This window comes from Homo sapiens, chromosome 5 (assembly GCF_000001405.40).
Source record: "Homo sapiens chromosome 5, GRCh38.p14 Primary Assembly".
Classification (NCBI taxonomy): Eukaryota; Metazoa; Chordata; class Mammalia; order Primates; family Hominidae; genus Homo; species Homo sapiens.
In genome coordinates, this window is record NC_000005.10 from 83,051,806 (window position 1) to 83,078,859 (window position 27,054).

A 27,054-nucleotide genomic window follows, 5' to 3' on the forward strand; every position below is an offset into this window, starting at 1 on the left:
ACGCAGTTTCTGAATGAGTGTTCTCATCCTCCACAAAGTGTGTGTGAAGTAACTTACCCTTGTTTCCAATATTTATGTTTTCTCCCTTGCCCTTGCCCTCCCTTCCACCCCTAGATGAATCTGTTATCAGTAAGGACATTAATGTAAACCCTCTGAATTAAAAACAGATCTTGCTTTCCTGGTTATATTAAATTTGGTGGTCTTAAGCACAGCCATTTTGAATTCTTTTGACTTATTAATATAAATTGGAAATTTAGTGATTTTCCTATAATGTCTTTTATCAACTGGTGGTTTAATGGGGCAGTGGGGTACGTTTACAATATTTACTGAAAGAAACAACTAAGATACTGCCTTTCAATTTATATCTGAAGTATTTTCTTAGATCTAAATCTAACTAAAAATACAATTGCTACAATTCATTTGGTTAGGTAAATTCCTTCTAGTTACAGGTCTGACAAAGGTTGGTCTGTGTTTATTCAGTTTTGGGAAGCTAACAGCAGGAAGACCACATTCCTCAAAGCAAGACAAAAGCCTTTTCATATTTCTCAGTAAATACTAATAATAGTATAAATTGGCTGAATAATCTGACTGATGGACAATGCTCACAAACAGATTTTAGACAGAAAATAATAGTTACTTGCCAGAATGTTTGGGCATCTGAAGGCTCCCAGTTGAGGACAAGGTTGAAAATAACTCAGTAATTGATAACTGTCACTTTCACTCAGAATCGGATTTCCACCATCTCTGGGAAAATTAAAGACTTCACACCCAAAGCAAACTGCTGGAGTCATTTAAGGCTCTTCAAAGCATACTCAATGATAACAGCAATATAGTAGATCCAATAGCTAGTAGGATGCAAAACAACAATAAAAATAATACCCCAAAACGAATCCTGGCCATCCATGAATGCAAATGCAGGTAGGAAAAAAAAAATAGAACATTTCTCTATTCTCATCCTACTAGAAAGGTGGAAATTTCCATTTTCTAACCTCTAAAAACTGCTTTCACATATCTGACAATAAGACAAAAGTAGGAGGCTCTTGAGAGTTCATCTTGACTTTTATTACACACTAGACATATATGAACTAATCAGAGATGTGCATGATTCTCTGTACTCTTAAAATCACAGGAAATATAATTCCACCTCCCCCTTTTTTTCTGATATTGGAGTAGCATTTCAGATTTTGGAGATTAGCTTAGGGCAAAGTAAAAGTCATGGAAGGCAGTGTATAAATAACATTAATTATGAAGCTACTTTTCAGAAGCTAGTAGTAACTTGCTTAGTAATAACCACAAGGTTGTACAGCGTTCACAATGCTGGTATTAATCAGCTACATATTTTGAACATCTACTGTTACTGGATACCAAAGAAAGTGAGTTATTTAAGAATCTTCCATTCTTGTTATAAGCTTCCTATGATCCAGTAACTTCTCAAAGGCTTTGCAAAAAGCGTAAGTCCTTGCTTTTTGAGAATTTTTTTTTGTGCACCCAGGAAATGTAAATGCAACCATCACTGCTTCTTGTGCAGGTGTGTGCTTTAACAATCAGGGCTGCTTTTGGTATCAAGAGTATGAGCTATTAAGAGTTTCTAAAAATACTGACCTAACTAGTCAGTTGCCTCCACCTTATATACTATTCAGGCAAGTCTTCGGAAAGTATACTACTGTATTCCTAGTCCAAAATAAGGTAGGCATGAATATATTCAACCTTCTTTGCACATACACCAAGGAAGAATTTAAATTTCTGCCCTTGAGTAGTTTTGTGTTAGGCAGGAGGAAAAACATATTCAATTTTGAGGTAGGTAATCAACAGGAATGAGAAAAATACAAGACAGTCTAAGATCTAACCTTTGCCTACCTTTCTAGGCTTATGTCTTAATACTCCCGAAGTGGCACAAGCTAGGTTATTTCTAGTTCTTAACAGACTACTGTGCTTTTGCACAATGCTCTCAAGTTCAGCTTAAGCAGTGCTCCTCTGGAAGTTCACACCCTAACTGAACTGTCACTCTTCTTTATTTTCTTCTAGAATCCTGGGATTATCTGAATAATAAATGCCATCACATTGTACTTTTAATACATACTTCATCTCTTTCACCTAGTGCACTATGAATTACTACGAGGAAGAATCTGTGTGCCTATCTTCCTGTCTTCAGTGATGATATACTGAAAGAATGGTGTAGGAGTAGAAATATTCTATTTACCAGTGCTAACTCTTTTTCACAAAACCAGGCAGAGATCTGCTCATTTTTACTCTGTAAACTTGGAAAAGTTAATTTATTCAATCTCTATTTTGTCCTAACTAGACTGATCATCTTATTACTAAGATGAAGGAATCTATTGCAAGTTACACGTTACTATCATCCCCTGGTATGAAAGAGCGATTTTGAACCTGAACATATAAAAGCATTCAAGATAGTGTCTGGCACAGTAGAACAGGGATTAACAAGACACTGGACTTGATCCTCAAATTATTTAAGCCACAGAAGGGATTCAGACTCTGGCCTTTTGATTGACCACCTTTTAAGATTGCTTGAAAAGACAACGCCCTTCCTATTAGCACAGCTGAAGCCAATCCAGAACTAAACATCAGCACACAAAAAATACCAGGATAGATGGAATCAAAAGACTCTGAAGCCAAAAGGAGGCTAGGGAGAGCAACTGAACTTAGCAAGCTGAGGACTTCAGTGTCCATCATCCGATCCTGCCCTGTAACAACAGGTCTATATGATAGAGATATTCCATCTGAGCTGGAGGCCATTATCCTTAGCAAACTAACACAGAACAGAAAACCAAATACATGTTCTCATTTAGAAGTAGGAGCTAAATGATGAGAACTCAAGGACACAAAGAAAGGAACAACAGACACTGGGGCCTACTTGAGGGTGGAGGGTGGGAGGAGGGAGAAGAGCAGGGAAAATAACTACTGGGTACTAGGCTTAGCACCTGGGTGACAAAATAATCTGTACAACAAAACCACTTGACATGAGTTTACCTATATAACAACCTGCACATGTACCCCTGAACCTAAAAGTTAAAAAAATAAAAGGGATAGTCTATCTGATGCTTAAATTGATCTTTAATAACCTTCTGCATCCCACCACCCCACCAAAACCACAAGAGAAATATCTCAATATTCTGTGGGCTTAAAACCACCTACACTGCCCCTTGGGTTAGAGAACAGGATTCCGTGGTCCTCTTTGAAAAATATACATTAAAGAAAATGTTAATTGCTTTTATTCATACTGTGTCTCTCCCTGACTTCTCCAAAAGCTTGTGTTTCAAAAGGTCAGAATGGTTGTTGTTACAAATATGCTGCCTCCCACTCTGTTTAGCATCTATACAAAGCAAAACGTTTTGTATGTTTCCACAAATTTTCCCCCAAAATTATCTCTTCCTTTACTTTCCACCTACCTCCTCTGAGATGCCAAATTAAGAAATGTCTTAGAATATCTAGAATATTCTTCCTCTTTTCATATTCGATTTGTCTTAGCATATAAAAAATTAGTTGACATGGCTTTCGGAAAGTCCAGTTGGCAGCAGAGCTGGACAACAGATGGCCACCCAGAAATTAGAGCCAGAAAGGTGACTTACTCAGCATGCATACACTGACAAGAATCCTATTTTTGAGAAACCCTAAAAATCCTTGACCTGATGTAAAGCCCAAGAGGCAGTTTAGAGGAAGAACAATGATTATAACCTGATTCCCTATCTAAAGCAAAATATACCACTTTTAACTGCCATAGACATGCCAAAAATATAAAACCAAAACCAAACCAAAACAAACAAACAAAAAATCCCCAGATAACAAAATACAGAAAATCAAACCAAAACCAAAAAACACCCCCAAACAAAAAACCACCACAGGCAACACACAAGCTTAAGATGTTTCCTAGAATCCATTCCAAGTGGTTTAAATTAGTCTAAAATAAAAATAGGTGGCTTTCAGTTCCATACGTTGTTTCTGCAGAAATAACTACTAGCCTATTAATCTAGAAATAATTTTTTTTGTTTAAAAAAAGGGAGAGTTTCTTCATTTTATCTTTATGATGAATTAATAGCTGCAAACAATCTAATTAATACTATCTACAACAGGTAATTTTTAGCTAAGATTTAAGTTCCTCGTAGCTCTGAAATTTTAACTGAATTTTAGTTGAACCTTAAGAAATGTTAACCATGACCTTAAAATAACTGCTCTATTGTAAAATTTAGAAGTCACATTCCTAATATTCCTCTCGCCTAGACTAAAAATTGTTGAAGGTCTCCTTTCACTATCAAAGTTCAAAGATACTTGTGCCACAGTATACAAATCAGCAGATTTGAAAACTATTTATCACCTCCAAAGTAACAAAAGAGATTCCAGTTCAAGTTGACAAAACACAAACTGGATTTAAAGTGCTGTGTTAAAAAACAAAACAAAAATACAGTTCCTTTACGGCAATTAAAATAAATGTTTCATTTTTGAAGCCATGACACTAAAAAGAATGAAAAACACATATAGGATAATTATTTTATAATTGTTCTTTTCATTCTAAGAACGTTGTGTTTTTCAGAGAAAGACAGCTTTCCAGCAAAAATTCATGCACAAAATACATATACTTGACAAGATGTTTCAGAGCCTACTATGTCATTTGGCTAGTCTAAATCCACTAATGTTAACTATCAACATTTTCCCAATACTATTTTTAAGTTACATCTCATTTACCTTCGTCCTTAAGAACTGCATAAGCTTGTTTTAAATATTTTAAATACTTGTCATAAACTAGAGTTTGCTAAGAGTAGAGGTACTCTGGTTAATGATCAAAATGGTGTGCCCAGAGGAAAAGCAAGCACTATTAAATATTAATGCAATCCTTATCAACACAAATTGAGCCATTTTAATAAAAAAGCTAGTCCAAAAAAGGTTCTCATTCTATAAAGATTAAATCATTTCCAAATCACAGTGAAAGGAACTTGAGTAATTAACCAATTTTGTTTTCTACTATGTGCCTTAGAGATACCTCACTAAAATTTTGTATCTGATACAACAGAATAACATTTGCAGAATGTAATATTGTAGTGACAGTACTGAGGTTGATTGTTACAGACTATTAAATGGTTACATCTTAATTGTTTATACAGAACATTGGTCCAATAACATTAAAATAGAGAACAGCATCTGGAAATTTATCTCATTCAATGTTCGGAGATAAAAGAGTTAAACATCCTTTCCATTATTTTCTGCAGTCAGTCCTTGTTCACAATCAAATCTGATGGCAACTACATTCTGGCATTTTCCCCAGCTACTGTATGAAGAGGATGCTGAAGGCCATTACTATACAGCATACTGCAACATAAGGACTCTTCCGTTCACCTGTTGAAAAAAAGGAGATGTTCATCTTGATTAACTGAGTGGCTAACCTGGCTATGACAAGGTTATACTACCATAAGAATCAAGATAACATTCTTCCCTAGGAGGCCCGCACATTGGGGGTGGGGCAGTGACAAAAACTAGATGCAACATAAAAAACAAGTACAATACAGAATGGGCTAAACTATTAATATATCAATTTATTTCTAAGAGGATCTTCTTTTCATATATTTAGAAAACCTCGAAAGCATCATTTCTTTGTCACTGTGTAAACTCAGACACTAAAAAATACAATGCAGAATGTAGGACAGAGATCCAAGAGAAACGATCTCAACTCAATTGAGGCCAAAGAAATATTGTTTATTTTCTGTCTATAAAAAGAACAAAACTTCCATCCATAAAAAGACACAACAGTTTTCCTTACTGGTAGCAATTTGTGACACTTAAAGGTACAGGGAAGGGGGAGCATTCATGGATGAAAATAAAGAGAGGATGGTCAATAAAACTGCATTTAAAAAATGGACAAATTAAAATGCTTAATTAAAAAAATTAGAAAAACTATTTCTGAGATAGTATGCTTACTCTGGGTTAGAAAAGTAGAACTAAAACTAACCACTTCTGTATCAGTCAATTTTTCACATGCATTTAAGGAATGCTTGTATTTGGATGCTTTCCTTTGTACGAAGTAAATCTCAAACTGGCTTGTGAATTGTCTCGCAAACAGATAGAGATCATGTCATTGTGAGTTAACTCAAATTGATCTTATTCTTCTCTGTTCCTTCAATAACTGCAAGGCTATACTAATTCATAAAGCACCAGACATTTCTATGCTGCCATGAGGGCGGTATAAGAAAGGAAGAAGAAACTACTTCTAGAAATAATCCTGGGTATGTGCCTGGCATCCTCTAGTAGAGATGGTTTACACTACCCTCACCTGTGCTTTTCCATGATGTTTAAAGTCAACTCTTTCTTAATGAAACTCCTTATCCCACTTAGCAAGTTAGGCAAACTACCTCTAGAAAATGTTCATCCTGACCATCTTTATTAACTAAAATTCTCAAGGTCATTTTCATTTTTATAGCTTCCTCACTGACCTCACACTGCCATATTATTGAGTTTATGTCTTAGTGTCTGCTCATTGTTAATTTCCATAGAAAATATTATACACATACAAAAAAATAAACTTTTGGGGTTTTTCTGAAAGTATTTGTTTAATCTGTAGACATTTAATGGACTGCCTTCCGGCTAAAAAAAATCTAGAAAGTGAAACTGTTTTTACAATACCATCACCTCAACTGAAAATAAAAATCTTTTAAAATTAAAAAAAATCTTGGGTCACAATCTGTAAACAATGCTAATTCTCTTGGAGAAAAAAGCCCAAGTCACCAAACAAAACAAAAACAACCCCATTTGTAAATAAATTTCAGAAAGACTTCGTAAGCAAGCCTGTCACTCTTACTAGGGCTATATACCCTCATCTCATAGAGTCTTATTAAATACTTAAAAGAAATTAATACGGTCCTAAGTTTTCCATATGGTGGAAATTAATTTTTGAGGAAGTTCCCCTTTTCCTCATCCTTCAAATTAGAATGCTATCATTTACATGTGGATTTAATTTTCCTGTTTTTAATTTTCTTAAAAGAGACTGCCATGTGGTAGAGCTAAACATCTTTAGTTGAACTTGGGTTTTAATGTTACTTTTTGTCTGGTCTTAGGTCTGTATAAGTGAATGTAAAACAGTTGCTGTAATGTGATGTGTAACATGATAAGATGATTTGGCTAGGTCTTTTCCCATTAAAATTGTATCATTTCTTTGTGGATATATTCTGTGTCAAGATAAGAGAGGAGCATATGCTTGAGAAAGCAGCATATCAGCAACATTTTCTAAGTCACTCTGCCAAAATGAAAAGCTAATGCTTTCACAGAATTGGCAAGAATGAACATTTAAAATGAACCATTCAACCTATAGCATTCATACAGTCAAGAGAGGAAAATGGAAATAATAAATAACAAGCAAAAAAAAAAAAAGGACACTAGACACTATTTATACTCAGACATAAAAATAGATCATACAACAGGAAATCATTAAGAAAGATACAAACTAGACATCTTAAACTCAGCTATGTTCTTTTCAAGCAATAATTGTGAACAAAGGGGCTGTTTGGGCTGGCTACTAAATGGAACTGTACACACTTCTCTCATTACATAAGATGGATTTAAAATACCTTAATATTTTCTTTATGCATTAGCAATTTAATAAAACTGAGATGAAAACGATGCCTCTTAACTCCAGACCTGCTCTTCCATTATGTTCTCTCTTTGTACTTTACTTGAGGTATTCTTAACCACTGTTTCTTGGCCATATTCTTTCTCAGAGTAACTTGTCTCTGAAGCATGCGGTTTGGTGTGTGTATAGTTATATTTACCACTAACTACCAGTATTAACCATTGAGGATGCTATTTTGTCACTCTTTTCTTGGTTCTTTTTGAAGTGCTTAAGATTTCTCCTATTATTTCAGGGTTTGCAGTTGTTCATAACTGAGTGCCAGATAAGTCTGCACCATAAATTTCTGTAAATCTAGAGCAGCCCTTCTCACTCCAGTACTATGGACATTTTGAGCTTGATAATTCTGTTGTGATGGATTCCCTGTGCATCCTAGGATGCTTAGCAACATCCCTCACCTATACCCACTACATGTCCCTGAGTCCAGCTGTGACTATCAAAGCTGTCTCTCTATTTTGTCAAATGTCCCAGAGTGGTAACTACTTATCTAGGGTATATCTGTGATTTTACCAGTTTAAGGTAATGATACTTATTACAAAAGAAAGACTCTTAGACCTATCACCGTAAGAGAGAACAAAGTATGACAGAACACTGAGGAAGAATAGCTGCACCCATTGAGTACCTGACTTCAAACTATACAGTTTGTATTTTTCAATCTCATGAAGTTTGTTTCCTTTATGGACCATCCTCTAAATTTTCCACATCTCTGAGAAGTTGAAAGCCAAAATAAAACACAATACTCTAAAGGGAACACAGTTTATCTAATGGAGATGCCTCTTCAATTCTCTATCCTATTAAAAGGGATTAGTTGAGAGAATTTAGGCTGTTGTCAGACTGGCTAACAATAAATGTCAAACGTAGAAAAAATATTTTTCATTATAAATGTCTAACAGCTTTATGAAAGAAAAGTAGTTAAGCATAAATTCAAAGTTAGAAGAAGAGTACTAAACAAAAGAATTTTTCTTTGGTTATACAAATGATTCCAAAGAGGACAGATAAGAAATATTCAATTTCAGTCCAAGTGGTATATGTACAAATGTCTGGAGTCTTTTTTTTTTTTTAATTAAAAAGGTTAAAAAAGGGTGTAATTTATTATTCAAGAATACTGATGAATGGCTGGGCACAGTGGCTCATGCCTGTAATCCCAGCACTTTGGGAGGCCGAGGCGGGCGGATCACAAGGTCAGGAGTTGGAGAGCAGCCTGGCCGACATAGTGAAACCCTGTCTCTACTAAAAATACAAAAAATTAGCTGGGCGTGGTGGTGGGTGCCTGTAATCCCAGCTACTCGGGAGACTGAGGCAGGAGAAACACTTGAACCTGGGAGGCGGAGCTTGCAGTGAGCGGAGATCGTGCCACTGCACTCCAGCCTGGGCAACACTGCAAGACTCCATCTCCAAAAAAAAAAAAAATACTGATGAATGATGCAATAAAATACATGTTAATTGATTCACTTAATCATTTGAGAGTCTACTATGTGCTGGGTACCGTGTTAAATGTTACATATACAGGGTGAATGGATAGGAGTATATTATTAACTATAAAAACATGTATGATGCTACTAATCTCTTATCATGGAAAGTTGTAAGACAACCACATCTACCTTAACTTTAATTGCTTCTTGGCCTTTTAGCTAAGATCAAGTGTAGTACTTTAACTCGAGTCAAACAGTTCGGCTATGACCACATGGGTTCAATAGACAAAACAGTTAAACATTCTGTTATTTAAATAGGGCAATAAAGTGATTATGTTCAGATAGCTGCTCAGAAAGACTTTCATTAGATGGGAATACATCCTAGTTATCAAAATGGTATACATTATACACAACAGCATGCTCTATACTTCTATACTATCAACATGTGTGCATAAAACCACATACATTTATTTCCCCCAATACCAAGAATGCATGGTATTTGATATCTAAATTAGAAAGATTTTCTGTCTCTGTGTTAATGAAGTAGCCACCAAATCTAGTTTTATTCTTTTTTTATTTTGAGACAGAGTCTCACTCTGTCGCCCAGGATGGGGCACAGTGGTGTGATCTGGCTCACTGCAACCTTCGCCTCTCGGGTTCAAGAGATCCTTCTGCCTCAGCCTCCTGAGTAGCTGGGATTACAGGTGTGCATGCCCAGCTAACTTTTAGTAGAGACAGGGTTTCATCATGTTGGCCAGACTGGTCTCAAACTCCTGACCTCAGGTAATCCTCCTGCCTTGGCCTCAAAAAGTGCTGGGACTACAGGCGTGAGCCACCACGCCTGGCCCAAATGTGGTTTTAAATAGCATAAGGAAAAGAGCTTGGTACAACTTATAAACTTTTGCGAAAATGCATAAAATTGGGAAGCCTGCCCTTTAAAAATTAACATTTGACTTGTGAGATTATAACCTAAGTAAATTGGTCAACAATTTACAGCTGAAGAAATGGAGGGAGATTATAGACACTTACCAATTCTGGCACACTTCCAAAATATACCCAACAATCTGCATAGAATAAAAAAAGAAAAAAAGTAGCTATTGATTACTCGGAAAGGTAAATTATTCTCTTGATATCATATAGGGAATTAATTGTATATTAACATATTAACCTTTAACACTTTGCTTCAAATTTGAAATCTCCTTATTTGATGTTGAGCCACCATTCATGTATGAAAGTAGGACACAATGACATATCAACCATCAATGTACAGAAACTGCTATGAAATGGAATATAAATAGTGTCATAGGTCAAATCCAGGGCAAATTAGTGAGAGTGGCAAAAATTTGCATAAGGGCTTACTATTCAGTTGATTTACTCTACTTTCAAAAGCAGAAAATGTATATGGCAATTTAAGCATCAATTTTGATAAAATGTTAAATGAACATTTTTTGGTTGAATGTGACACCAAAAACACTCTTATAATAAACTTTAATTTCTTACAGAATGTAGCTCTAAAGTTAAATAATCTATAATAATGAATTCCAATGATGGTATTTACTTATCTGTGTCATTTACTAAGAAAGAATTAAAAATGTGCCTATATTTTCAATATAAGTAGAAAATCTTCTAGTTTAAAGGACACTCTATGTGAATTCACTAAATATGGCATTTAAAGCACATACTCTGGGAATAAGTATTAGAATGGAGATATATATTTCAACTGTATGAATGAATATATTATGAATTACATATTATATGGAGTAATCACTTATTTGGCATGTATAACAAATCATCTTTAAAAAAAGACCGAATCATCAATGAATAGAGATATCTTAAAAAATAACACTAAGGACACTACTTAGTTGGTCTGACAAAGTAAAAGAATTATAAATAGTGTCACATATGGTTGCAAATTAAGATAAATTAATATTATGTTACGTAAATTCGAATTATTATCTCAAGAAAATCAGAATACTTAAATTCCAGAAAAATTTATAGTATACTTTTTTTTTTTTTTTTACCAAAAGAGATGGCTGGCTAGTGAATCATTACATCTGAATGGGTAAGACTAACAGAAAATTCTGGTTCAGTTAAGTTCTATATATGTTCCTCCTCTGAAGTATAACTTCCTGACCTCAAAGCAAAAGGTCTCTTAGCCTATCAACCATCAATGTATAGAAACTGCTATGAACTGGAATATACATAGTTTAGATTAAATGGAATTAAGCAAAAACATGAGTTTATTTCAAAGTATGAATATTCTGACAGGCTAAACAATTTTACCATAGAAATAAAATGACAAAGCCCATATACATTCCTGAAAATAAGCTAAAATAAAGGCCAAATTATGCTTAAATTAAATCCTACTCACTGGTTGCGTAACTGTGAGCAAGGTATTGTATCTCTTTAACAAAAGGACCCACCCTCAAAGGGTTGTTATGAGGATGAAATGAGTGATTACACGGAAAGTCCTTAGAATGGTGACTTAGATGTACTGTGTTCATATATAGGCTAAGGATACATGTGATAACTCTAGGTATCACTTAAAATTGGCTAACATTTCTTCATCAAACAATGGAATAGGTTAGGCATTTGCAAAGCCATGGCTCCTTCATTCTAGAACCCACTGAAAACCACAAGATCACAAACTCAAGGTCTTTTTGGGTCTAATATTCTAGAAGTAACAAAATATCATTAAGAAACTGGTACAACAGGATTAACATATTAACAGCTTTTATAAATGAGTAAAGAACCCTAACTTGGTAACTCAGAGACTTAGCAGCACCACTTTGGTTTTTTCCACATATTTCTCTACCTAGATATATTTCTGTAATACCCCAATTTTACTTACACATGCACACACACACACACACGAACCCTGTTAGTTGATTTAAAAAATGTAATTACGTTGCTTAGTTATTATGGCTAAATACCAATAAGTATATTTGCTGATAATGCTATCAGGTCTATGAAACCAGGATAAAGACCATGTAGTAATCTTTTTTTCTGCTGCTTAGTTCTATATTATTTGAAGTAGCAAAAACTGAAGTTATTTTAAACAGTGAAGTCATCAAGAACTTGCTTTATCCAATCTGTCTAGATATCTCCACCTAAGCATGGTATATATTCTCAGTATAATAAAAGATTACGAGTCTCATAAAAACATGTAATTTTAACAGAAAGAGACTAGGCCTATAAAATTTTCTATACAAAATAATTCTTAGTTATAAATCAACATAAAATGGTGCTTAACACGTATATAAGTAGAAATAAAGGTTTTAAAAAAAGCTTTCAAACAGTTGACTGTATTAGTACATATTTTAAAATGTAAAAATAGGCATGCTCTTTTTGGTCTTTTATGTTGGAGAAATATACTACCACTCAACCTTTACTAGAAGGTTGGCAGCCCTGAGAACTCCTTTGTTAATGTAGCATGTTATGAACATATTCCTGCTCCCAAGGAATGAGAAGCAGACATTTCCACATGCAACCTACTTGCTTTTGAAGAAGAATTTTCGTGATAGCATAGGGAAAGTATTCTACTACTATGTAATTATTCTTTAATGAGATAAACACTTAAATATCTTAGATGGACATTATGCATTATATTAGAATTCCAATAAAGTCATCAATAGGAATAAGTGTTTACTAGAGTCTACCATATGCTTTAATTCTAAGTTTACAGTTGGCGGGTACAGAAGGGAAAGATACAATGAAACTGTCTACTTGGATAGAAAGACTTCATGCACAGCCAAGCAACAAATAACGTAATTTCAACAAATGGGTGAATACTGAAGAATAAATTCAACAGGACTTTACTGAAAAAGGTGGAATGAAGAGAAGACAGTGTCTACAAGGAGATGGAGTATTATCATAAAAACTGATGGACAACTAACATCTATTTTCACCTTCAGTAGGTTAAATCCCTCATGCGATTTTTTACTCTTAACACATTTTAGGTCACTTCTGAAATTTACCTTTTAATTTAGTAAGATATTGTGAATATAAAGTTTTTGAATTTTTAACAGGAAGAAAATGAAAAAAGTTATTATAAAACCAAATTACATGTAGGAATTAAATTATCTAATAATTTATATGTTAACTTACATTGAACATTTGTAAGAACTAATTTGGGTGATTAGACATCATTAGTAACATACCCAGTTTTATTTCTGTCCAGGAGGCTGGGTGCCAAGGATCGAATATAAGCACAGGTACATATAAGCAGCAAGATTACAGTCAATAGACTCTGAAAATTGAAAATGGCAGACTAAAAAGAAAAAAAAAAAAGAAAAATTAATATCAAGAAAAACTGCATAGGTAAAAAATGTTTGACAATTCCACATTTAGAGTCATGTTTTTATTTCTTCAAGAAGGCAAGCAGAATGACAAGTCTGGCAACACTTAAAACCAGAATCTTGAGGTCTTCTACAGTCTTCAAGCTCTGCCAATAGCTGGTTTTATGGCCTTAGCAGAATTACTAGCTTTTCTAAGTCTTTGGCTGGGCGGAGAATGGGCAGACAGACTTAAATGCTAGCTAAGTTTCTTTTAATTCTGAATTTTTTTAAGGATAAACATCCTTTAAATTTAAGCTATAATTTTCCATGAGTTGACAAATACTAGGCTAATAGATTTTGGAGAAAGAAAGCAAGCACCTGTACTTTCACTGTTGGATTTTTAAAAGTTATTCATTACAGGTTGAACATCTCTAATCCAAAATCCAAAATGTTCCAAAATCAAAATTTTTTGAGTGCCAAAATGATGCTAAAAAAAAAATGTTCATTGGAGCATTTTGGATTTCTGATTAGAGATGCTCAACGAGTAAGTATAATGCAATTATTCCAAAATCCCACCAAAAATTTGAAATCCAAAACACTCCTGGCTCCAAGCATTTTGGAAAAAAGATACTTAGCTTGTATTTAATAGTTTGAGTCTTATTCCAAAGTTAAAATTTAACACAAGAGTCATAAGAAACCATAAGTTTCATAAGTTTCCACAGTCAAACAAAATCATAGGTTTCCAGTTAAAGTAAATGGAGGTGGACTTATTCTATTCAAAATTCAGCTCTAGCATCACCTTTTTAAGGAAGTTTCCTTGAATCCATCTGCCTCCCTTCTCTTATTTTATGTAGAACTCTCTTTTCTAGTCTCATAGCAAACTGTTACCTTTATTATAATATTCATTTCTGAAGGGTAGACATTGTTATCAGATTATCAGACTCTGAATCTCCAGCACCAATCATATGCCTGTCTCACACTAGAAGCCCAATAAGAGAGAGTTGAAAAAAATAAAATGAAATTAAGAAAGTGCAAGAATATTACTGTGTATATATAACAAAGAATAACATTTTCATCATATACAGGGAGATAAAATATGTCAATCTCACACAACAGCCAGCAATATGCTTGTTTAGTAAACTTAGAGGCACCTTCTAAAAAACAAACAAAAAAATCAGGAATGAAACAAAGAATGACTCATGAGAAAACTTAGTTACACAAAATTGGTACTTGCGGCTGAGTGCTTACTTGAAAAGTCCTAAAGAATTTAGTGAAAAACAGTTATAGATCTTAAGGAAATTGAGTAAGGTGGCTGGGTACATAATTAAAATATATAAATCAATAGCCTTCATAATCATATTATCATTCAGGAGAAAGACAATGGAAAAAAGATAGCATCCAGAACGAACAGCTAAAATATCTAGGAATAAGCTTAACAAGAAATGTGCAACATTGGCATCAAAGAAAAAAACTGACAAAATCTTAAAACATATGGAAGAACATAAAAGTAGAAGAGACTGTTGCTATGGTTTAGAAATGGTTTTTCATCCCTACCAAAGCTCAGATTGAAATTTGATCCCCAGTAAGGTAGTGTTGGGAAGTGGGGCCTAGTGGGAGGTGTTTGGGTTTGGGGACGGGGTGGTGGGGGGTAGATCTCCCATGAATGTCAGGGTGCTCTTCTCATTAGTGAGATCTCACAAGACTGGATTAGTTTTCCAAGAAATGAATTCTTTCCGGAGAGAGCACGTTGTTATAAAGCCATGATGCTCCTCCCTCCTTTTCACCAGGTCTGTTTCCCCTTTGACCTTCTCAGCCATGTTGTGATGCAACATAAAAGCCCTTCCCAGGAGGGCCAAGCCCTACTACTCTTAGCCTGCACAACTGAGAGCTAAGTGACCCTTTTTTCTTAACCAATTACCCAATTTCAGTTTTTTTTTAAATAGCAACATAACATGGATTAAGAAACCTGGTATGCCAGATTTTTATATTGGAAGGCAACATTGTAAAGACAACCTATAAATTTAAAGTGAACCCAATACCAACAAGTTATCTTTTAAACAGACAACTAATTCTGAAGTTCATATGGAAAAAATAAGGCAAGAATAGCCAGGAGAATCTTAAAAACAAAAAAATGGACACTAGAAACTGTTCCAATGTCATTTGAATCTTTTCTATATTTTTATGATAAATACATGCAAACTACTGAAAAAATTAAAAAACTATATACATTATTTACCAATATTCTCAAGGACAAAAAGTGCTTATGCACAATGCTAAGCAGTAGGCAAAAGGGGATCAAAGATTTCAGACAGCACATCTTAAGGTATGTAAACTTTTATGCAAAGAAAGTGTGAAAATGCTGTGATTATCTGTGGATAGTTTTTTGGTGGGGGGTGGAGGGACAGAGTCTTGCTCTACTGCCCAGGCTGAAGTGCAGTGGTGGGATCTTGGCTCACTGCAACCTCCACCTCGTGGGTTCAAGTGATTCTCCTGCCTCAGTCTCCCCAGTAGCTAGGATTACAGTCATGCTCCACTACGCCTGGCTAAATTTTGTATTTTTTTTTTTTTAGTAGAGACAGGGTTTCGCTGTGTTGGCCAGGCTGGACTCAAACTCTTGATCTCAAGCGATCTGCCCACCTTGGCCTCCTAAAGTGCTGGGATTACAGGCGTGAGCCATCTCTAGATAGTTTTTAATCTAATTCTCAACTTTTCTAGATTTCTCAAATTGTCTAAGTGACACTTTTATGGTCTGAAAAAGACAAAAATGATTTGTAATTACCAGTTTAATACTTGTTTTTCTATGCATTATTTTTTCATAGATATAACAAAGATAAAATTTAATGTATCTTGGGTTTTAATTAAATTGGGTTTTAATCTTAAACCTGTGAAAGCCAGTGATACACATTTTATAACATAAATCAATGAATTAGCTCATGATCAATTGTAGATAAAAAGCATGGTATCTCACAATGCTTATCTTTCAAAGGTCATATTTTGAATATGTATGTGAATATATTAATAAATAATATTGGATAATGACCTCATAGAAAATAAAGCAGATTTCCTCCCAACATAACTAAATGTGTATTTGGTATCCACTTTGTCTGAGAAATGAGGCAGTGGGGATTAAAAAAAAGGCACATGGTATGATTCCTTCCCTACAGGAGTTTATGGCTAACAATAGCAATTACTGATATTCACTGAGTACTTGTTTTATGTTATCCTCATGTATCTGGGGTAAATATTACCTGAATTTTATTCATGATTGTTATTACCTGTATTTTATACATGAGACTGAGGCACACAGCAGTTATAATCAAGTAATCAAGTGAAAACAGAGCATGTACTTTAAAAAGTAAATAGTAACTCATTGTTGAATGTGGAAGTGAGTTATGCAGACAAAAAATGCCATTTTTGTAAGAAAAAGTCAGGAAAAGCTTCATGTAGAAAGCAGGAACGGAGTCAAACCTTGAAAGGGCACCATTCAGATGGGCAAATAGCAAGCTCCAGAAGAGAAAAAAAAATGTGGGAAAAAAACCCTACAGAAAAAGTCATTGGCACGTTCAGGGAATAATGAGAATCTTACTGTATTTTAAGCAAAAGATTCCTACAGTAAAATGGTTGGAAAACAAATCTTCAAAGTAGGTTTATCATTTTCCTAATGCAGTATCTAAATTCATGACTTTGTAATGTGTTCTCTTTCCTTCTCCAAATGTGTTTTTAAAGAAAACATGCTTAAATGATATAATGTTCAGGATTGGTTTCTAAATAATCCAGTGCATGTGTGGTGGGAGAGGGGTAGGGTTGATGATAAAATGCTGAGAATATGAGGGTTCATTATAGGCTTCTACCTCTTTATGTTTGAATGTTTTCATAATAGAAGATAAAAAGGCACTTAAAAACATGCCTATTAGGAAAGTAGAGTGTGTATATACGTTTGTGTGTGAAGCCATTTACAAAAGAAAACCATTTACAAGTATGAAATATATGATATATACAACTTTGTTCTGGGGGTTTAAAGCCTCTAAAGTTTAAAACAAATAATCTTAGGTGGTAAGTCTTTTAGATGTACTCAGACTCTGGTCAAAAGTGTGTTTCTAACTTACGGACATTAGCCTGCCACCTATAGCATTCCCCTTAATGCTTAGCATCTGTTGTCTGGTGACATAAAATTTTAGTCTCAGGGTTAAAGGAAACAGATGTTCCTCTTCAGTGAAAAAATAATTGCAATTTTCAACAGAAAAATGTTATTAAAAGGGAAAGGAGGAATCTAAGAAAAGGTAAGCATATTTAATCACAAAACAGAGGAAAAGATGATTAAAAGGTGGTAAGTCAAATTCATTTACCTTGTTTAATTTTTTTCAGGGCCTTTAAGTCATGAAACCTTTTCCAAGGTACTCTATTGAGTTTTGCACATGCTATCTGTTCTTGCCTGCTTGGTGAACTGACTCATGCGTCCAATCTCAACTCAAGATTCACCTCCTCTGATGTCTTTCCTGTTCCCACTCACTATACCAAGCAGAGTCAGGATTTTTGTATGTGCATAATACATACACATAACAATGTGTATGTTATAGAACACATCATACTGTACTGTGATTGTCTATTCTATTGAGGTTTTCATCAATCCCCTGTGACTATTAAAATATAGTACACAGAGAAGTCACTGAAAAGTGTCAAATGAACAGGAACTTGAACGCAACTGGCAATAATGAACATTTTAACAAATCCAAGAGCATACTTGGATTCCAAAGAAAAAATACACATTCAAAAACCAGTGTAGATCAGATTGCTGAATACAGTATTTTGTTAACTCTTCAAGAGAAACCTCCATGTATGGCTTTGCATATATGCTTACTTCTCAAGAATATTTTGGAAAATCAAGTAGAAAGATGCAAATTTCCTTATATTTATGTTAAGGACCTAGGCTGTAGGGTAAAATAAAGACCTGAGGTAATTTCCATTCAGTATCCACATCTTCTATCACCTCCTGGAATTCAGATTTTCTATTCTATCAAGCAGCAAGCTTTGAAGGTGCTTGCACACTGGAAAGTGTGTGTTCTTCTGACTTCTTTTAATTCTTAAGAGATATACACTTTCAAAAGATCTGTACGACTGAGTACGCAGGTTCTGTAAGACTGAGTACGCAGGTTATCTTGACCATTACTCTGAGAGCTATGTCATTCTTCTAAAACATGGCAATGGAGGCCTCCAAACGATTTGTCATCAAGGGCTCTTTTACTAACCCTCTGCATTGTAGACTTATCTGACAACTCATAATCAATAAGATCTTTTGATATGCTTGAAACAACTAGTGTTATTGAACTGAGTTAATTTACCCAAACCGGAAGGATATAAACTTGAGTCAGTTACTTTATTTGATCATTTTGAAGTAAATCACATTTGGTTAGGTGTTTTGAAATAATAAAAATAATTCACAGACTTTATTTGGCCACCACTACAGGAGATGCAATAATTAATCAATGAATAGATGCAAGGTCAATACAAAGCTAAGGAAGGGGTCTAGACATGAAATTACTTACAATGTTGACAAACCTCTAAAAAATGTTCTATTTTCAAGTCTATTTGAAAAATTAGTTTTTAGATTTTTAAAATCATTTTATTTATTAAGATGAAATTTCTCATTTTCAGAGTCATTTCTGAACACTAAAATTATATTCATTAACTCTGATTATAAGTAAGAATTCAATATAGGAGATTTTTAAAAAAGACGAATAAAATACTTCTAAGTCTAAGAGCTCAAGGTATTTATTAACAAAACTTTCAAATAAGAAATCTTAAAAAGAAACCACTGAAAACATTAGGAATAGAAGAAGGAAAAAAGGAATTATCCAAGCAATATAAAAATGCAAAAAGAAAGAAACAATGAGAAAAGCAGAAGAAATATACACATCAATATGCTAAACAAGCTGTGGCTAGAGTGCTTAATGACTGGTTATTAAGCATACTTAATCTGCAGAAAGGGGTGACTAAATCTACAGTACTTTTATTAGTCTTGGATCACTTGGGCACTAAACAAATTGTTTAGCAAATTTGTTGATTAAGGGGCTTATTTATACATAACACTGTGTTGAAGCTTCAAATGTTGACTGCCTCCTATATGGGGAATAAATTTTTACTGACATACTAATTCCTCCAGCTTTAAAACAAAAATTAATATAAAAGACAACATTTAAAAACTCCAAATAGTAACAATTTTACTTGTATTAATACTTACTTCTTTTACATGAAACTAGTTTATCCCTTTTTGGGGGTGGAAGGGAACACAGAAATGACACTCCTGACCTAATTGTGATCAAAATTATTCAGCATTAGAAAAGTGGGTCAGCATTTATCATTCAGAAAATCTAGGTCAGGTCAGCATTTTCCAACTAGTCTCTTAAAATGCAAAACATGAAAATGCAAGAATGTTAGCCTGCATATGAATGCACAAACACACATATATATAATTTGCCCAAAAAAAGTGACCAGAATTGGTTGAAAAGATTTCCACTAATACATAAAAATTATCAACATTTTCTTTTGGCATTATTAGCGTATAAATTTAAACTTTGTTGCTTATCACGTGGTAGGGTGATGATATTGCACCAAATAGGCAAGTAACCTCAGTTTAATTTGAGAGCAAGAAATCAGGCTTGATTAATATTTAGATATGAACCCATCACCCATCTCTTCTCAGCAACAGTGGCCACAAAATATTTGGGTTAATGAAGTAATCCAAGTATAAAAATTTGACCTTAGGTGAATCAACATCTCACATCTCCACTTGTCAGTTTCATTTCATTTGTAAAATGTGGGGGCTGGATTAAACAACCATTTGTTCTCACCAGTCATATTTTAAAAATGTACAGAGACATTTTCTACTTAATACTTTCCATTTAACAACTTTCATGGATATGATGAGTAAAACTACAGTACAGAGTAGAAGCGCTTGAACTCTGTTTTCCACTGGCAACACTGATTTTGTAGTTATTTTCATCTCATTATCATGGTACCTACAATTAATTTGCTGTTTGTGCTGCTTTGTTTTGGAGCTATTTTATATAAACCTCAGATCTAAAGATAAGGCAAAAGGGTGTCAAGAGTTAGAGAAGGCATACGCAAAACAATGATAAATGGTAGAGTGAAAAAAAATTAGAATAAATGCTCCATATATGTCTTTGATAAAAAGGTTGGACAAGAGACAGTATTCTGAAGGAAAAGAGCAAAGCCTGCTGTAAAGTCCTCTGACCTTGCAATCAAGAAAAAAACAAAAACTGATAAAATGTCCTATCATATGGTATGAAATCTAACTGCTTATTAGAACCACTTGGAGCTTAAAAAGCCATCATTGCCCAGAAATTTGGATTTAACTGGTCTGGGCACCTACAGTTTCTTAAAATTCCCTGAAAGCTTTTTTTTGAGATGGAGTCTCACTCTGTTGCCCAGACTGGAGTGCAGTGGCATGATCTCGGCTCATTGCAACCTCCACCCCTTGGGTTCAAGCAATTATCCTGCCTCAGCCTCCCGAGCAGCTGGGACTACAGGTGCACGCCACCAAGCCCGGCTAGTTTTTTTTGTATTTTTAGTAGAAATGGGGTTTCACCATGTTGGTCAGGCTAGTCTCGAATGCCTGCCTCAGCCTCCTGGAAGTTTTTCTTTGCAATCAGTATTCAAAAGCTTTGCTAGAGAAGATCAGCACCCACATCAGATTCCTATTAGCCTAATGAAGTGGTTATCAAAGGTGTGGTTCATGGAACCCTTTCATGGGTTCATAAGATCAGAACTATTTTTATAATACTAAGATACTTGCCTTTTAACTGTGATGCCATTTTCATGGATGATGCAAAAGCAATATTAGCAACAGAATTATCTGAACTGCTACCTCCTCACCCACTCCTGACATAAAAAATTTGCTTTTCTTAATATTTTTGTGCAATTAATGGTATTGTTGCATAGTTGAAAGGGCACAGCATTTCGTGACAAATTGGTTCCGTTTAAATCTTAGCTCTGCTATTTATAAGCAGTGTGATGTTGGGCAAGACACTTGGCTCTCCGCATCTGTTTCTTCATATGAAAAATGTGGCCAATAATACGACTTTAATAAAACCTTGTATGTAAAATAAAACACCTGTCAGAGTAGGTGCTTAACGAAAACAGTAAGCCCTCACTTAACGTCATCCACAGGTCCTTGGAAAATGCAACTTTAAGCCAAAAGATATATAACAAAAAAAATTTACCATAGGCGAATTGATATAAACAAGAGTTAAGTTCCGATGGCATATTTCTAGTCACAAAAGCATCACCAAACTTCCAAATCAATATCAAAACCCTTCTAATATTCAACACTGAAGTAAATGTGAGTTATACATCCACTTAAGAAAGATTAATAAAAACAAGTAAGATAGCTGGCTATTTGCTATTTCAGTTCAGTGTTGACGGTGCCGGGAGCCATCCCAGTAGCCTGGAGTATAGGACATCATTCCAGTGCAGAGCACTCAAACTGGGAGAGTGTAGACACCTCAACAAACCCATTGTATATATCTCTGGGATGTAGAAGGGAACTGGAGTACCAAGAGAAAATCCATGCAGACATGGGAAGAACAGACATGAAGACAACGTGCAATTGGGAATGGAGTTTCTTCCTCATACACGTTATTGAGGATCTGCTGTATTTCTTTCCCATCCAATAAATCATCCAAGCTGGAGCTGTGCTTCATCACCCTTCATTAAGTATCTTCAAAACGATTTTCCTAGTTTTCCTTTCCTTTCAACCCAACTGCTCATCAGAGTTGAGACATTCAATCATTGTATACCTGAACTACAGCACTTGTTTTCAAGCTGGTCTCCCAGATTCTAATCTTCCTCCATTTAAATATACTCTATGTTGTTACCAGTTGGTTTTCTAAAATGCACACCTTTTATTTCCCTGCTCCAAAGCCTTTATCAAGTAAGCAATTAAACATCATCAAAATATAAAGTCTTTGGCATGGCACAAAGCTCTTCAAAATCTGGCCCCAATCTTTCTAGCCTCATCTATCACCAGTCCACTATACTTGACTTCTTTTTATTCCTGCCACATTAAGGCTCCATGCAACTATTGAACTTCATGCCTTTTGTTCCCATAACTGCCATTTCCTTTATCTACGGGATAGAGATTGCTGTCCCACCTCTAGCTAATGACTCCTTCCCTAATACTCTTTAAAGTACAGGTGAGAGAGAATTACTTCTTTCTTGGGGACATCTCTCAAGCAGTTCCCAGCCAGTACTACTCCTTCCACTGTGTTTAATGATTTTCTACATATCTTCTGCTATAAGAGGAGAGAAAATACTTCACATCTATTCTCTGGAGACTCAGTTTAATTATGAAATGTGGGCAATCATTCCTGCTTTGCAGAGTTTGTGAAAATCATTTAGTGCACCAAGAAAAAGACATGAAAATAAACTCCCTTAGAGTTAACCAAGTAAAGGTTCGGAACTGGAAATGATTCTAACTCTGTTTGGCTCAGTCTAAACCCATGCTCTCTCTACTACATGTGTTGTCTTGCTACAACATAGCAGACAACAGATGGAATTTACTTATTTAATAATTTCCCCCACTGGACTGTGAAATCCTTGAAGACACTGAGCATGTTTGTATCCCCAGACTCTTTTTTTTTTTTTGAGATGGAGTTTCGCTCTTGTTGTCCAGGCTGGAGTGCAATGGCACAATCTCGACACACCGCAACCTCCACCTCCTGGGTTCAAGTGATTCTCCTGCCTCAGCCTCCCAAGTAGCTGGGATTACAGGCATGTGCCACCACGCCCGGCTAATTTTTTATTTTTAGTAGAGATGGGGTTTCTCCACACTGGTCAGGCTGGTCTCCAACTCCCGACCTCAGTTGATCTACCCACCTTGGCCTCCCAAAGTGCTGAGATTACAGGCCCAGACTCTTAATGGAGTAATAACTCCAGCTGGCACTGTGACTGTAGAGATTAAAATACCTAGTCTTTAAGAATTCTGCCTAGAGAGGGAGAAATGCAGGCAACACCTTATTGCTGTTTTCTGTGAAAAGGGTTATGCTAGAGGGATACTGGAAGTATACATATGAACTAGGAATATCCCTATAGATACCTAAAGAGAGTAGAAGAAAATAGAAGGGGTTAAGGGAGGCTTTTTGGAAAGAGATGAGACATGAGAGAAATGTTGAAGGATGTTAGGTGTTGGGGGGAACAAGGCATTCTGAAATTCTTTAAAAGTATTAATTCACAAGTGCTACAATTACTGTTCATGCTGACAGTTGTAAATTATTACTGCTGATAAACATTTTATCCTTGAAATGCTTTTTAAAAAGATTCTTGGCTGGGGACGGTGGCTCACGCCTGTAATCCCAGCACTTTGGGAGGCTGAGGTGGGAGGATCACGAGGTCAAGAGATCGAGACCATCTTGGCCAACATGGTGAAACCTCGTCTCTACTAAAAATACAAAAATTAGCCAGGCGTGGTTGTGCACGCCTGTAGTCCCAGCTACTCGGGAGGCTGAGGCAGGAGAATTGCTTGAACCCAGGAAGCAGAGGTTGCAGTGAGCTGAGATTATGCCACTGCACTCCAGCCTGGGCAACAGAGGGAGACTCCATCTCAAAAAAAAAAAAAATCATTAAAATACAGTAATTCAGGTTTATTAAGTCATTACCATTGGGTTACCTCACAAATAAACTAAGTTTAGATGCGAACTCAAAGATACTGAGACACTAATCCATTTCTTAAGCTGCTAAGTTAGCCTTCTTGAAACCTCACTTCGTAGCTCTGCAAACAATGTACTTTTGACATCCCAAGCTCACAGGAATAAAAAACCACCTGCCAGTTGTTTCCGTTTTCCACCTATGTCTAATTTATGTACTTATATTTATAAGAAACAAATCACTAAGTCTTATTTCATCCTTAGTTATGTTGTGTTTCTATCGATAACAGCATGAAGATTTCGGGGACCTGGACATTAAAATAAGTTTGAGTACTGGCTTTACAATCTACTAGGTGTGATCCGAGGCAAGTCAGTCTCTTCATGTTTCACTTCTTTCACTTGTAAACATCTATTCAGAAGTTGCTGTGAACTTGATATTTCCATGCTTATAAACTGATTTTTTGAAAAGAGCCTGGTACATAGGACGTGATAATAAATGAAAGCATTTGCTACTTTTGGAAAAACAAGCATGACAAGATAGTTTATATACTGTTGATCTTAAGCACAGTATATGCATCTTATTTTTAGCTAGTCTGACAGTGAGATAATAAAAAGAGTTATCTTTGACTTGCACTACGAGTAGAAGAATTCAACTTCAGTTTCTAGAAAGATGTATAAGAATTAAGAGTGGCAGTCTTCCTAGTCTCAACTGCCATCTTCCCACCAGGTGGTAAATTCGTCCAGAGAAGAAAATGAATTATTGCTATATGGGATTCTGCAGCAACTTCTGTGAACATAGGCTCATAATTTTTCACCATGGAGACTCAAGCTTTTTGGAGTCATAGTTGTTTTTGGGTCTATTTGCAGGCATGCATCCTTTGTCCAGAAATATACATAACATTTGGCACATGGACCTGGAGGTAAAAGAGGAGGAAGGCCTGAGGCTAGACACCACTCCAATAAGTACATTAAGCTCCTAGAAGGGCAATCCACCTTTGCAGAGAACTCTTAACTATTAAAACCTATAGCTTGTAAAGCAGCATTTTCAAAGTTAAGAGAAGAAGGTGGAAGGGTCTTGAGAGGCTACTGACTAAACAGATGAAAATGAAGGTATGGAGTTTGGTGCCAAAAGAAACTCCCCCCAAAAATCAAACAATAACACCAGAGTAAAGCCCCTAGGGCGAGATAAGGAGTTGCAACAAAACAAGCGGAAACTCGAGAAGCGCTAATGCTTCAAAGGGTCAATGACCACACATAATCTACGTAGCCAACGTGTTAAAACACACCAACGCATTTTTTTTTCCTAAACAAAGTAGGAAAGCGGACTTTGCATGAGGGGCGGGCTGCCGACCCAGCAGTCTTCCTCGGACAGTCCGTCCTGATTCTCTCTGGTTGGCCGTGGAGGGACCACATGGCTCCAAGGCCTCTCAGCTCCGGGCCCACACACCCCGGGCTGCCGCACAAACTCCAGCCCTAGTCTAGATCCACAACCCCTTCTCGAAGATCAACCGCGACCTGGGAGCCCCACTTCTTACCATAGCGAGGCCGGCGATGCCGCAGCCACATCACCCTTCCGGGGCTCAGGCGGAAGAGGCTGCATGTCCCGTCTGCCCTTCTCGCCCTCTCCAGCCGTCCGGTTGGGCTTGTCACGGCACCGCCTACCAAGACGGGCGGTTAAGACACTAGGATAGGCTCCTCTCCACCGGAAAAGGCGGGATTTAGATCACGTCCCGCAGGCCGGCGGAAGTAGCTGATACTCTCATTGGTTGCAAAACCTTGATCTGTGAAAGCGGGCGTTTTGGAAGATACCGGAAGTAGAGTCACGGAGAGGTAGGATCCGGAAGTGGGGCTGCCTCTTTAAATAACAAAAATCTGAGGTTCTGTTCTTTTTATCTTTTTGCTTTCTTTTTAAAAAAGTTCCCTGCTACTTACCCCTAGAACTCCACAATGCGAGAATCCCCCTCAATTTGTGAGCTCCCGCGACTTCCTCTTGTGGGCTTTTGGGGATGCTAGGGTTCTCGGCATTATCCTCAGGGTGCGACCTGTTCACCCCCTTTTCAGTTTCTCCGTTTGCATCTGAGGGATTCTTGGGAATGCGAAGCACTTTTGAAATGCTCTGTGTTGGTTGTGGGATTGGGAGGACGGTTGAATCCAGAGGGTAGTGTTGAGTAGGCTGTTTGAGCATTTCCCCAGCACTGGCCTGTCCTTTCAATCCCCAGATATTGGTAAACTGTGGGTTCCAACCAGGCATCGAGGCTGAAACGTACTAGGCAATTTGAGGTCAGGAAAGAACTTTCTGTGGTAACCAATGGGAAGGAACTGCCGTTTGCGGACTGCAGCGATTGATTAGGTACTTTAAAGAGATCAACTGGCAAGACAAATGACAAGGCAACTTTTAATCAGTAGTAGTATTTAGCTTTTTCTGATTTTAATTATCCCATTAGGTGAGGTTCTACTACACACACACGTTTTTCTTTCTGCATTTTATCGATGGAGAAACAGGCGCTTTGACATGTTTGAATTTGCGTAGTTCTTGGAATTCTAATAAAGTATTAGAAATGAGAGTTTTTCACTCTTTGCCCCCTTATGGCAAGCTTTTGGTTCTAAATGTGTGGTGTATTTTTTCTCAGGCAGGAGAGAGTTCTTTTCAGAATGTTTTCAATTTTTTATGGACTTAGAAGGTGGATAGAGAGAAAGAGAGAAGGTAACTCACGTGAGATTTTGGTTTATGAACTGTATTCGGCCTATGAGACCCTTTTGTATTTAGGGCAACACAATGATTAGAAGATTTGGGATTCTGCTATTTGTGTTTACATTGTTCACTAGGGCACACAAAGGTTTTGTTTTAAACTATAACTAACTTGATATTTGAGTCTGTTATATTGAATTGTCAAGAGTTGGTCAAATACACAAATTAGCAAGTATTTACTGGGTGCCTGCTTTATTCATGGATCTTCAGATTGCAGCATAGGAACAAAGATGGTCTGTTCCTTTAAGGAATTTAATAAGGTTGGGGGAGAGGGGAATAAGAAAGGTATTTAAAAGATACAGTACTCTCCACCTAAGGATAAAAA

The 27,054-nt window shown here is 36.0% G+C and overlaps 2 protein-coding genes and 1 non-coding gene across 13 annotated transcripts in view, besides 5 other annotated features; 1 reads left to right on the forward strand and 2 right to left on the reverse strand.

The window, feature by feature from the left end:
- Window positions 1-1,040: 1,040 nt before the first annotated feature.
- On the reverse strand, window positions 1,041-25,589 carry TMEM167A (transmembrane protein 167A). Its single transcript, NM_174909.5, has 4 exons — window positions 25,516-25,589; window positions 13,203-13,312; window positions 10,072-10,106; window positions 1,041-5,349 (listed from the first exon to the last, which is right to left on the reverse strand). Exons 1-4 carry the CDS (start codon window positions 25,516-25,518, stop codon window positions 5,279-5,281), a joined length of 219 nt encoding a protein of 72 aa, NP_777569.1. The 5' UTR covers window positions 25,519-25,589; the 3' UTR covers window positions 1,041-5,278.
- SCARNA18 (small Cajal body-specific RNA 18) lies at window positions 12,399-12,532 on the reverse strand. The gene has a single exon (NR_003139.1).
- Window positions 24,705-25,670: an enhancer, noted in NCBI's record as "NANOG-H3K27ac-H3K4me1 hESC enhancer chr5:82372329-82373294 (GRCh37/hg19 assembly coordinates)". NCBI's record gives its function as "activates a minimal SCP1, AML or CMV promoter by ChIP-STARR-seq in naive and primed H9 embryonic stem cells {active_cell/tissue: H9 hESC(naive and primed)}" and the evidence as "EXISTENCE:reporter gene assay evidence [ECO:0000049][PMID:30033119]".
- Window positions 25,327-25,596: an enhancer, noted in NCBI's record as "active region_22740". NCBI's record gives its function as "activates an Ori minimal core promoter by ATAC-STARR-seq in GM12878 lymphoblastoid cells {active_cell/tissue: GM12878}" and the evidence as "EXISTENCE:reporter gene assay evidence [ECO:0000049][PMID:35858748]".
- Window positions 25,657-25,746: a silencer, noted in NCBI's record as "silent region_16151". NCBI's record gives its function as "represses an Ori minimal core promoter by ATAC-STARR-seq in GM12878 lymphoblastoid cells {active_cell/tissue: GM12878}" and the evidence as "EXISTENCE:reporter gene assay evidence [ECO:0000049][PMID:35858748]".
- Window positions 25,657-26,636: a biological region, named in NCBI's record as "NANOG-H3K27ac-H3K4me1 hESC enhancer GRCh37_chr5:82373295-82374260".
- Window positions 25,671-26,636: an enhancer, noted in NCBI's record as "NANOG-H3K27ac-H3K4me1 hESC enhancer chr5:82373295-82374260 (GRCh37/hg19 assembly coordinates)". NCBI's record gives its function as "activates a minimal SCP1, AML or CMV promoter by ChIP-STARR-seq in naive H9 embryonic stem cells {active_cell/tissue: H9 hESC(naive)}" and the evidence as "EXISTENCE:reporter gene assay evidence [ECO:0000049][PMID:30033119]".
- XRCC4 (X-ray repair cross complementing 4) overlaps window positions 25,742-27,054 on the forward strand; it is a 296,927-nt gene continuing 295,614 nt past the window's right edge. For 6 of the 11 annotated variants that reach the window (XM_047417695.1, NM_001318012.3, NM_022550.4 and 3 more), the window contains exon 1: window positions 25,742-25,857. The gene's annotated coding sequence lies outside the window, so the exon portion shown is untranslated. The remainder of the gene's footprint in view (window positions 25,858-27,054) is intronic. The other 5 variants (XM_017009827.3, NM_022406.5, NM_003401.5 and 2 more) reach the window with 1 other exon arrangement.